A 13288-nucleotide genomic window follows, 5' to 3' on the forward strand; every position below is an offset into this window, starting at 1 on the left:
CAAACTGAAGGGCAGCACTGCCCCCCAAGTAGCCAGAAAAATTCAAGGTCAGTTGTTAGCTGCAACCTTTTATCCAATAGCATCTGGAGGCATCTGGATAAGATCCATTAAAATACTCATTGTGATGCCAGACCTCATACGAACATTCATTTGACACCCACAACTACTCATAAGCCTGATTGTCCCCATTTGAACAGTGAGGTTTGTGAAATTAAGTGATGTAAGTCTCACAAACAACTGCAAGTTTAGGACTGACTTGACCTTAGGACTGTCTGGCGCTCCACTAATTCCCACGCGGGGGCGCTGGTGGAGGAGCTGATGGCAGCCAGATGTTGCAGTTTTTGTATGTTGCGCCCTCCCTTATTAAGTATCCTTCACCCAAACTGTGTGATATGGCTTGGCTGTGTCCCCATTCAAATCTCAACTTCAACTGTATCTCCTGGAATTCCCATGTGTTGTGGGAGAGACCTGGGGGAGGTAATTGAATCATGGGGGCTTGTCTTTTCCGTGCTGTTCTCATGATAGTGAATAAGTCTCACGAGATCTGATGGTTTGATCAGGGGTTTCCTCGTTTGCTTCTTCCTCATTTTCTCTTGCTGCTGCCATGTAAGAAGTGCCCTTTGCCCTCCGCCATGATTATGAGACCTACCCAGCCATGTGAAACCGTAAGTCAAATTAAACCTCTTTATCTTCCCAGTCTTGGGTATGTTTTTATCAGTAGCATAAAAACGGACTAATACACTGTGAAACATATAAAAAATGAACAACGTTGGGCGTGGTGGCTTGCATTTGTAATCCCAGCTACTCAGGAAGCTGAGGTGGGAGAATCGCTTGAGGGTGAGAGTTCAAGAGCAGCCTGGGCAAGAGAGCAAGACTTGTCTCTAAAAAATTTTTCTTAAATAAGAAATCAGCTGAGTGTGGTGGTGCATGTCTGTAGTCCCAGCTACTCAGGAGGCTGAGGCAGAAAGATCGTGTGAGCTGTGGAGTTCAAGGCTTCACTGAGCTGCGATCACACCACTGCACTCCAGCCTGGGTGACAGAGCAAGAACCTGTCTCTGAAAAAGAAAAAAGAACAAATAGAGGCATCTGCTTCATGGACCAGCCTTCAAAAGGAGCCTCTGTTGTGCTCCCAAGTCATTTTCACACTGGAAGAAGAGTCAGCAAGGTGGCACCTGTTATCAAATCAGCCCGCTGCTACCTCCCTAATGACCTCCAAAACTGCCCTGAAACTCAGAGACGTTCCAGGATTGATTGCTGTGTGTCCTGAAGTTTCCCTCTGGGCTCAGGTTCCTCAGCTTCCATGAACTGGCTGTTTGGACACCTACTGAACCCTAATTCTATTAGTAATACCGAGGCCCCACTGTAAACTAAAGATTAGAAATGTAAAGGCTTGGCCTCTGCAAACCTCGGGGAGACTCACTGGGCCTGAATCCCACACCCTAGAAGTCTGGTGTCTTGAACCCAAGATTTTGGGGCAGTTTCTGAAGGACTTTCTGATGCTAAAAATGATGGTGAAGGGCAAACGTACACCCAGTTACTCCCAGGGCACTCCCTTTCCTGTACTTGAATACTGGGCTGGCTAGACTCAGATACACATGCACGGACAAACATACACACACACACACACACACACACACACACACACACACTCCTGTTCCATATCTTTGGGTCTCTGCTTGCTCTTACCCTTGCTTCGAATATCCTTTCCACCTTACTTCACACAGCTGACTGTTGCTTAATTATGGAGATTCAGCTCGGGGATCACTTCCTCAATCCCAAGCTGGGCTAATGTTTTCACAGCACCAGGGTTGAGCACCATCTCAGCCTATTACATAAAATGGCCTGGTAATACATCTCCTCCACTGAACCAAAAGTCTCTGAGGATGGGGCCCACGTTCAGCTCCCTGTGGTTCTCAGAGTCTCACCGGATGTCTGCCGCGCTGCAGGTGCTCAGCACAGGTTTGTGGCTCTGTCCAGCGATTATATTCTCAGCCTACAGGCAGCCTCTTCCTTGTAGCATGGCCAGGTTCCCATCGTGCAGACTCATTACATCCGTGCCAGGGCTTGTAAGTTTGCCGCTTATCTGAGGTTCATCTGCAAGAAGCTGTAATTGAAACAGCTTCCAGGATGGAAATATCGTTTCCAGAATTTCATTTTCAAGCTTACAGCCTGGATCGTTCAAGCCGATTACAGGAAACGGTTGCAGTGCTGGTGCTCCCCGGGTTGAATCCAGATGGGTGTGTTTACTAGGCTGAGAAATGTTAATCCTGTCTTTGGCCTAGAAATGTCTGGCATTCACTTTGGAGGGAAATAGAAAAATAAGGTAGTACAGCCAGCCAGGCTCAGTTATATTTCCCTTAAATAATGCTTTTTTCAAAACAAGGTGGGGAGAGGGTCTGCTGGAGGGACCTTTGCCTGAAAGGAGATAGTGTGCAACTGTCATTGATTTTGAAAGTTCAGAAGAAACATTCTGAATAGTCAGTCTTTAGTATCATTACAAGGCTGGCCAAATAACCATGGGCCTGAATGCTGACAGGTGCATGCTTGGGGCTAAGGAACAGAGATCTGAATCTGTTCTCTTCTGAAGGCCATATGTAAGCGTGCATGAAGCCAAATGACAATGAGAGGAAGGGCCTGCACATTTACTGAGCCCTGGCTTCTTTGCCAAGCATTGTACTAAGCACTTCACATTTTTTATATCGTTTGATCCAATAACTCTTTGAGGTGGATACCACTACTACTAATCCCATTTACAGTTGAAGAAACCAAGATTCAAAGAGAGGCTTGCCCAAAGTAGCAGGGCTCCCATATGCTTTGCAAACACTTTTATAACTTTAAACGATTTTTTAACCCTACCACGTGCCGGCACTACAACCAGCCCAGCTGGCGGGTGGTCACTCCTGTCCTGTGTAGTGAAGACCCAAGATCCTCTGGCAAGTGCTCCCAGGCAGCAGGGCAGTGGGGCCCATTTGTCCCTAATAAACCTTTCTTCCATGCAGTGCTCAAACTCCTCAAGAAAGCAAAACACAACAGCTTCAGTAACTAAATAGGCGACCAGTAACCTGCCTGCCCAGAGCTCTCTGAGACTTTTTGTTTTTTTTTTTGTGAGATGGAGTCTCGCTCTGTTACCCAGGCTGCAGTGCAGTGGCGCAATCTTGGCTTACTGCAACCTCCACCTCCCGGGTTCAAGCAATTCTCCTGCCTCAGCCTCCAGAGTAGCTGGGATTACAGGTGCCCACCACCATGCCCGGCTAATTTTTGTATTTTAGTAGAGATGAGGTTTCACCATGTTGGCCAGGCTGGTCTTGAACTCCTGACCTCAGGTGATCCACCCGCCTTGGCTTCCCAAAGTGCTGGGATTACAGGCGGGAGCTACCGCACCCTGCCTGAGACTTTGTCTTCAGTTACAAGTGCAGTGAGTGACGAGGGGAGGGAAGAGAGCTTTTTGAAGCCATATGACCCTGGCATGTATTTCTGGGCCTCGCGTAGCACCTTCCCACGGGTGCTAGAGAGACAGGAGAGGAGGAAAGAGCCTCCCTCTTTCAGTCAAGAGTGCCACCTTGTGATGCCAGCACCAGAAAAGAACTGAACATCACTCTGGCCCCTGAGCTCAGCCCTGTGATTCATCCCCACAGCCCCTCCCTGGCAGTAGGCTCTGTTTGTGGTGCTCTGTAATTAGTTAATGAACTATCTGAATGATATTCCTGTAGTCATTCAACCAGCCCCATCCTCAGGGTGTAATTGTATTTGAGGTTATTTAAAAACATTATTGTATCCAAATAGAGTTTACATCAGCAGACAGCATGATTCGTAATTCTGCTATCCCTGGTGTTTCTAAATTGTGCTATAAACTGCCTGATGAGTCGTGCAAAAATGGCTGCACCAACAGAGAACAGTGGGGCTTCTCTGGCAAAAACCACCAACTATCTAAGGGGAAGAGTAGTAAAAGCAACTTGTGGCTAGAACCCAGTTGACTTCAGTATAGAACAGATTGTTTTCAAGAGGCCCTCCACTAATTTGATCATCATCTTTGGATGAACTAACTCTTCATTACCTTTACAAGAAAATGCTTGGAAAGGAAGTGGAAGGCTGATCTGAAGAGTGGCAGGGGCTGCTTCACTTCCTCTGCAGTTTCCTGGAGCTGCCTTGCTCCGCCTCAGGGAATTTGCTGGGAGAGGCTCTCCAGCATCCAGATCCCCCTGCAAAGGTGTTTCGCGATCTGCAGGAACAGGCCCCAGGAGCATCCCTTGGGGCCGAATGTGCAGTGGGCGATGCCCCTCCTGACCCAACAGATCCAAGACGAGCATGATCAATACAGTCTTGTGGCCAGCCTTGACAATGTTAGGAATCTCTCCACTATCTTAAAAGCTATTCATTTCCGAAAATGTGCTGTGTGTTTCGCAACTAAAAATGGAATCAAAGTAACAATGGAAAATGCAAAGTGTGTGCAAGCAAATGCTTTTATTCAGGCTGGAATATTTCAAGAGCTTAAAGTTCAGGAAGAGTCTGTTACTTTTTGAATTAATTTCATTGTCCTTTTAGACTGTTTATCTATTTTTGGATCAAGTCCTATGCCAGGGACTTGAACTGCACTTCGGATGTGTTACCAAGGTTATGGTTACCCTTTGATGCTGTTCCTGGAAGAAGAAGGAGTGGTGGCAGTCTGCAAAATCAATACACAGGAACCTGAAGGGACCTGGACTTTAATTTCTACAGCACTAATGTTATTGATAAAATTCTGCAGTCAGAAGGGCTCTGTGAAGCTTTTTCTGAATTGGATATGACGAGTGAGGTCCTACAAATTACCATGTCTCCTGACAAGCCTTATTTCAGGTTATCTACTTTTGGAAATGTAGGAAGTTCCCACCTTGACCGCCCCAAAGATTCTGATTTGATGGAAGCATTATAATCAGACCCAGGTCAACAGATGCAAGATTTCCTTACTGAAACCCTCTACAAAGGCATTAGTCCTGTCTTGTCACGTATCTACTCGGACAGATAACCGAGGCTTCCTTTCATTACAGTATATGATTAGAAATGAAGATGGACCAATATATTTTGTGGAATATTACTGCTGCCCTGATGAAGAAGTTCTTTAATCTGAGTCTTGAGTATGACGATTCACTGATATTTATGTGTACATTGATGATAGATGAAGTTCTCATTCTGAGTACGGTACTTTTTTTTTTTTTCTTTTTTGAGATGGAGTCTCACTCTGTCGCTGAGGCTGGAGTGCAGTGGCGCCATCTCAGCTCACTGCAACCTCCGCCTCCCAGGTTCAAGCGATTCTCCTGCCTCAGCCTCCCAAGTAGCTGGGATTACAGGTGCCCGCTACCACGCCTGGCTAATTTTTATATTTTAGTAGAGATGAGGTTTCACCATGTTGGCCAGGCTGGTCTTGAACTCCTGACCTCAGGTGATCCACCCGCCTTGGCCTCCCAAAGTGCTGGGATTACAGGCGTGAGCCACCACGCCCAGCCTTGAGTTCAGTACTCTTTATAATTTCATATTGTATTTCCTATAGAGAAGAAGCATGGGGAAGATAGAAACAAGGTCTGTGTACCCTAATAGTTGCTATGTGTTTTGTAAATACATTTTGTAAAGGGCATGTAAATAAATGTTTTCATGTAGTCATAAATTATTCAGGACTGTCCTGTAGTTCTGTCTTTTGAACTCATGGGAATGATTATGAACCAAGATTAATAAATTATACGTTCTATTTCAGTAGAACATTTCAAGAGTCTAAAGACTTATTCAGCTACCTGAAATGTTCTTTTATTTATTTACTATTAGAAAAGGCAAAGGTATATGCTCATTGCTTATTAGTTTGAATTCTAGAGACTAGATCTTAAAGCAGTGCTTCTCAAAGTGTTGTGCCCACACCAGCATCAGAACCACCTGCAAACTTGTAGCAAACTCTGGGGAGGAGGCCAGCATTCTATATTTTAACATGCTTCCCCCAGGAGATTCTGACGCATGCTAAATTTTGGGAACCACTGTTTTAAAGGAAACTTTTTTTAAAACTAGCATTTAATTGTATTGAGATGATTGCTTTTACATGTGATTTCTTTGCAAATGTTCTGAAGTTGAGGCATCACCAAACAAGTCTGAACAATTCTTTATGTGATTTATTTTTAAAGTAGACCTTCTGAGGAGATCTATGAATGGGATATAAAATAATTTTCAGGCCAGGTGCAGTGGCTCATGCCTGTAATCCCAGCACCTTGGGAGGCTGAGGCAGGCAGATTGCCTGAGGTCAGGAGTTCAAGACCAGCCTGGCCAACACAGTGAAACCTCATCTCTACTAAAAATACAAAAATTGGCCGGGTGTGGCAGTGCATGCCAGTAGTCCCAGCTACTCAGGAGGCTGAGGCAGGAGAATTGCTTGAACCTGGGAGGTGGAGGTTGCAGTGAGCCAAGATCGTGCCACTGCATTCCAGCCTGAGCAAGAGAGACTCTGTCTCAAAAAAAACAAAAAAACAAAACAATTTTCAGAGTTACAGGTTTTCTTCTTGTTCTCACAACTGTTCATTCCAGTAAGTAACTGCAGTAAGTACTTATTAGACACCTTCCATTTGCTTATAAGTTTCTTGGCAAATCAAGCTGTAGAAAACCAGTTATTAAGTGATTTTGTACTTTTCTGGTAGTCGTCACTAAAATAATTTTTGTGGCATATAAATATTTTTATATTTAATAAAGTACAATACTAAAAAACAGAAAATACATGGACACCAATCTTGGTCTGCCTTTCTTTACTATCTGTTTTGCAGATAATAGAGTAATACAGTTAAAAGCATGGGAATGGCTTAATGAATATCTCCCAGCCGCCATTTCTTTGTCTGTAAAATGGGGATTACGGGCTGGGCGCGGTGGCTCACGCCTGTAATCCCAGCACTTTGGGAGGCCGAGGTGGGTGGATCATGAGGTCAGGAGTTCAAGACCAGCCTGGCCAACATAGTGAAAACCCATCTCTACTAAAAAGATATAAAAAATTAGCCAGGCGTGATGGCGGATACCTGTAATCCCAGCTACTCAGGAGGCTGAGGCAGGAGAATCACTTGGAGGCAGGAGAATCACTTGATCCCAGGAGACGGAGGTTGCAGTGAGCCGAGATTGCACCACTGGACTCCAGCCTGGGCGACAAGAGTGAAACTCCATCTCCAAAAAAAAAAAAAAAACCAAAGCTTTTAGTACAACACCCAGGACAAGGCCACTGCCCAGTCCCGGGTGTTAGGGCTTTAGAAGTTTCTGCATAGTTTTAGTTATTTCTGTATATCTTGTTTTTTTTCTATAGCCTCACAACAGAGGTGATATTTATGTACGTTTTAATGCTCCTACTACTAGATTATAAATTCCCTGAAAGCAAGATTAATGTTTGCTTCCTTTCTATGTCTTCACACTTCTTATACACGGTAGGAACTCAGTAAATATTTGTCGAATAAATGAACATATTGATCCTATATTTAAGTGAAAAAAACTGCAAAATGTGCTTTATCTGGGCATTAATGCAAAAGTTCTCAAGATAAAGTTAATCTGTAGCTGTAAGTATATCTGAAATCTAGAATAATATATCTATGTCAGTTGCTAAGAGGGTCAAATGAGATGTGTATGAAAACCTCTTCAAAAATAGTAACATAGGGCCAGGCGCTGTGGTTCATGCCTGTAATCCCAGCACTTTGGGAGGCTGAGGCAGGTAGATCACAAGGTCAGGAGTTCAAGACCAGCCTGGCCAAGATGGTGAAACCCTGTCTCTACTAAAAATATAAAAATTAGCTGGGTGTGGTGGCAGGTGCCTGTAATCACAGCTACTTGGGAGGCTGAGGCAGAGAACTGCTTGAACCTGGGAGGTGGAGGTTGCAGTGAGCCAAGATCGTGCCACTGCACTCCAGCCTGGGTGACAGAGTGAGACTTCATCTCAAAAAAAAAAAAAACAAAAAAAAAATGGTAACATAGGGCCAGGCACGGTGGCTTACACCTGTAATCCCAGCACTTTGGGAGGCCAAGACAGGTGGATCACGTGAGGTCAGGAGTTTGAGACGAGACCTGCCAACATGGTGAAAACCCATCTCTACTAAAAATATAAAAAAACTAGCTGTGCGTGGTAGCAAATGCCTGTAATCCCAGCTACTTCGGAGGCTGAGGCAGGAGAATCGCTTGAACCCGGGAGGCGGAGGTTGCAGTGAGCCAAGACTGTACCACTGCACTCCAGCCTGGGTGACAGAATGAGACCCATCTCAATAAAATAAAATAAAATAAAAATAAAAAATGGTAACACAGCAAACATAGGTAATGTGTTATTGGTTTATATAATATACATATATAATACATAGAAGAAATCTATATATTATATATATAAATATAAATATATATATTATATATATAAATATAAATATATTATATATTATATATATAAATATAAATATATTATATATATATAATATAAATATATTATATATTATATATATAAATATAAATATATTATATATTATATATATATAAATATAAATATATTATATATTATATATATAAATATAAATATATTATATATTATATATATAAATATAAATATATTATATATTATATATAAATATAAATATATTATATATTATATATATAAATATAAATATATTATATATTACATATATAAATATAAATATATTATATATTACATATATAAATATAAATATATTATATATTACATATATAAATATAAATATATTATATATTATATATATAAATATAAATATATTATATATTATATATATAAATATATTATATATTATATATAAATATAAATATATTATATATTATATATATAAATATATTATATATTATATATAAATATAAATATATTATATATTATATATATGTATATTATAGAGAGAGAGAGAGAGAGGGAGAGAGAGAGAGGGATTTCTTCTTCTATGCTTCTAGTGGAGCAGCTGCTAATTGCAGGGCATAAACTGCCCCTAGTGTGTAGTTGGGCCACCAACCACACATGTCAGCAGTAAGCAACTAGCAAGTGCTTATACACAAGTGAATACAAAGACTTTTTGTTGTAAAGAAACAAAAAAGTATATTAGTAATCTACTGCTGCCTAATGCTTTACTCCAAAACTTAGCCGCAGAAAACAACAGCAAACACTTATCATCTCACAGAGTTTCTGTGGGTCAGGAATTTGGGAGCAGTGAGTGGTTTTAGGTTGACTGGGGCAGGAGGATCCATTTCCATGGTGGTTCACGCACATGCATAGTGAGTTGGTGCTGATTCTCGGTGAAGGCCTCAGCTCCTCCCGGGTGTGGCCTGTCCACAAGGCTGCTTGAGTGTCTTCACAACATGGTGACTGGCCTTCCTCAGAGGCAGTGATTCAAGAGACCACAGCAGAATCTGCAGTGTCTTTTATGATTTGTCTTCGAAGTCACAACCATCTCGTCTGGAATATCTTATTGGTCTACCTTATTCAGTGTGGGAAGATACAATACCAGAAGGCGATGGTCATGGAGCCATCTTGGAGGCTGGCTACCACAAAAGGGAACTGATCTCAGAAATCAAGAATGGTAGCTACAGCCCAGCCAGGCTTCCCAGAGACAAGAGCTGGAGGGCATCCCAGGAGCCAGGGCAGCTCAAGGCACTTCAGTGGCGGCCATCCCCCTGTCTTCACTCCTCCTGTTCCTTCCTCTTCATGTGACTCAGCCACACCCCTTCTCTCTTCTCCTGCCAGTTCTTCCCATGTTTCTTAGTTCACATGCCTAAAAGCAGAGCCTGATGGTTCATCTTTTTTCTCAGGTCATCACAGGTCACATGCCAGCCTATGGGTTGGTTCCAAGGATCCACTCTAAGACCAGGCATAGGGGAGGCAAGGTTCACATGGTCCAAAACATGGGCATCTTACCCCAGGGCTGTGGTCAGGACAGTCTTGCTAAGATGAAATAATAGGTGGGATGCAGCTTGGGAAGTGTGGCCTGCCCCATATGGCTACTGCTCACCAGGCATCGTGCTGGATGGAGGGGCCACAGATGGGGCAAAGAAAGAAAAATGGGCAGGGCGCAGTGACTCACACCTGTAATCCTAGCACTTTGGGAGGCCAAGGCAGGTGGATCACCTGAGGTCGGGAGTTCGAGGTCAGCCTGGCCAACTTGGTGAAACTCTCTCTCTACTAAAATACAAAAATTACCCAGGCATGGTGGTGTGTGCCTGTAATCCCAGCTACTTGGGAGGCTGAGGCAGGAGAATTGCTTGAACCCAAGAGGCAAAGACTACAGTGAGCTGAGATCATGCCACTGCACTCCAGCCTGGGTGACAGATCAAGTCTCTGTCTCAAAAAAAAAAAAAGAAAAAGAAAGAAAACTGAAGACCCATAAATTGATCCCTGGCCTCTCTGTTTAGCGAGGCCATAACCAAATAATTTGTGCATGATAAGGCTGTACTAGATCTCTCATGGCACTATGAGTGTTGATTCCCTCTACCTGGGGCCCATGGAGAAGTCTCCCCAAGAAACTGCTGCCAGGGCCTTGAAGGATGAGCTGGAGTTTACCAGATGAAGAGAAGGGAGAATGGCATTTCTGGCAGGAAGGAACCTGCACAGGGTATTTTGGCGGAAGGTGAGACGCTGTAGGTGGGACTGGGGAGCAGGGCAGCTGGGAGGAAAGCTGGCAGGGCCAGTAGGGTGATGCTGTGATGAACTTGGTGGGACCAGCAAAGAGCTTGGGCTCTACCCGAGAGCAGTGGGAAGACCTCTAAGTATCTGAAACAGGAACGACCACCGTGGGTGGCTCCAGGGGTGATAGCAACTCAGAAGGGAAGCCGGGTCCAAGGAGGCACCTGAGCGTCCTCCCCTCTTCAGAGTCCAGTTCACAAGGAGCTGCCTGTGATTTTTTTGGAAAGCTGTATTCTCTGTTACAAAAAGACATCCGAGCTTGTGAGGAACTAACGACTGCCCCTCCACTGGTTCCCTTGAATAGCAATCCCTCCAAATATAATTCCACAGCCATCCAAATTAAGCAAAGCTTTATTAAGCACCAAGCCGGCCACATCTGCATAATGAAAATATTTCACTGGAAGCCTGAGAAAACTCCCTGTGGACTCCTTATCGAATAACCCCTCATCCTCCTACAAATACCTACCCAGCCAATTCAGAAAATAACATCTGGAAAAGAAACCCCTTTTTTCAGTTCAGGTCATTCCAATGAGCAGCTTACAGCAGACTTGGAATTTCTACCTCAGGGAATGAAGGCTGAGTATGCCAGTCTGAAAGGCTTATTATTTAAATGTCCTCAGGCGGGGCTGGACATGGGCACTCACAGCTGTAATCCCAGCACTTTGGGAAGCCAAGGCAGGAGGATTGCTTGAGCCCAGGAGTTTGAGACCAGACTGGGAAACATAGTGAAATCTTGTCTCTACAAAAAAATAAAAATATTAGCCCGGCACGGTGGTGTACATTTGTGGTCCCAGCTACTTGAGAGGCTGAGGTGGGAGGATGGCTTGAACCCGTCAGCTGTGATCTCATCACTGCAGTCCAGCCTGGGTGACTGAGCGAGACCCTTCTCAAAAAAAAAAAAAAAAATCCTAAGGCCAATTTTATATCTTACTGACCATGTTTATAGAGTGACTTCAGAGGAAAAAGCAAGCTCCTGGGCTTTTTTTTTTTTTTTTTTTTTTGAGATAGAGTCTCACTGTCTCCCAGGGTGGAGTGCAGTGGCACAATCTTGGCTCACTGCAACCTCTGCTGCCCGGGTTCAAGCGATTCTCATGCACCAGCCACCTGAATAGCTGGGATTACAGGCACACACCATCACGCCAGGCTAACTTTTATATTTTAGTAGAGACAGAGTTTCACCATATTGGCCAGGCTGGTCTCGAGCTCCTGGCCTCAAGTGATCTGCCCAACTCGGCCTCCCAAAGTGCTGGGATTCCAGGCGTGAGCCACCACACACAGCCACTCCTGGCCTCTTTTACTCAGAGAAATGAGTTGCTCTGGTGAGGTCTGGCCTCAGGTAAGGGGACCATTACATTGCAGGAACCCCTGGAAGCTGCATGGCCTGTGGTTAAGAGGCCAGCCTCTGCAGCCAGCCTGCCTGGGCTTATATACCCCCGTGAGACTTGCTACCGTGTGACCTTGGGTAAGTTCCTTGAGCTCTATGTACCTCGGTTTCCTTGTCTGTGTAATGGGAATGATACCAATAACACCTCTCTCTCAGGGCTCTTAAGAGGATTAAGTGAATCCTCTAAGGATTAACCTCTTAGAAGAACTTTACACAGCGCAGAGAAAGTACCATACAAATGTTTGCTATTATTATTATTACTTTAGTGTAAATTTACTGATCTGCAACTTTCCTCTCGTTAAGGTATACCTACAACAAATTTGCACTTTGAAATAGCTGTCCTGATGTTACTAAGTGGAGCTAATCATTTATCACCAAGTTCTGTTGCTTTTATTTATTTATTTTTTTTTATTTTTTGAGACAGGGTCTTGCTTTGTCACCCAGGCTGGAATCCAGCACTCACTGCAGCCTCAACCTCCTAGGCTCAAGTGATCCTCCCACCTCAGCATCCTGAGAAGCTGGGACTACAGGTGCGTGCCATCATGCCTGGCTAATGTTTGTGTTTTTTGTAGAGATGGGGGTCTTGCTATGTTACCTAGGCTGGTCTCGAACTCCTAGGATCAAGCGATCTGCCGACTCAGCCTTCCAAAGTGCTAGGATTACAAGCATGAGCTATGGCACCCAGCCTGTTGCTTCTTACTCTGAAGAATAGTTTGAGTTGATCTGATTCTCTCCAGTATAGGTGATAATTGAGCCCATGGGGCATGGGCTGTTATGGGTGGCAGTTAACCCCAGGAGTTCAAATCCTGGCTCTCCATTCACCAGCTGTGTGATCTTGGGTAAGTTTCTTAACATCTCTGAGCCTCAGTGGTCCCTATAAAATGACAACCACAATAGTACCTATTTCATAGGTGTTTGTGAGGATTGAATGAGATCATGCAGGTAAATTGCTGAGCACAGTGCCTGGCACTAATATATATTCAATCAAACCCATTCTTGCCCCAGCCACATCATCTCTCCCTGAAACGTTCATGTTGGCTTTTCTTTTTCCCCCTCTGCCTTGCCCTCTGGCCTTTGAACTTATATGGAAACCTGGAGTCTGCTTCCAATCTTACCCTCCTGCAAGGCATTCTCCACATGGCAGCGAAATGATTTTTTAAAACACAAACCTGATCATGCCACTCCTCTGCTTAAAATTCTGCAAGTGGGCCGGGCACGGTGGCTCATGCCTATAATCCCAGCACTTT

The 13288-nt window shown here is 43.9% G+C and overlaps 1 pseudogene, besides 1 other annotated feature; it reads left to right on the forward strand.

The window, feature by feature from the left end:
* Positions 101-395: an enhancer, noted in NCBI's record as "tiled region #3145; K562 Activating DNase unmatched - State 1:Tss". NCBI's record gives its function as "activates a minimal TATA promoter and a strong SV40 promoter by Sharpr-MPRA in K562 cells {active_cell/tissue: K562}" and the evidence as "EXISTENCE:reporter gene assay evidence [ECO:0000049][PMID:27701403]".
* Positions 4119-5191, forward strand: RAD1P1 (RAD1 pseudogene 1; annotated as a pseudogene).

This window comes from Homo sapiens, chromosome 10 (assembly GCF_000001405.40).
Source record: "Homo sapiens chromosome 10, GRCh38.p14 Primary Assembly".
NCBI classification, from domain to species: domain Eukaryota; kingdom Metazoa; phylum Chordata; class Mammalia; order Primates; family Hominidae; genus Homo; species Homo sapiens.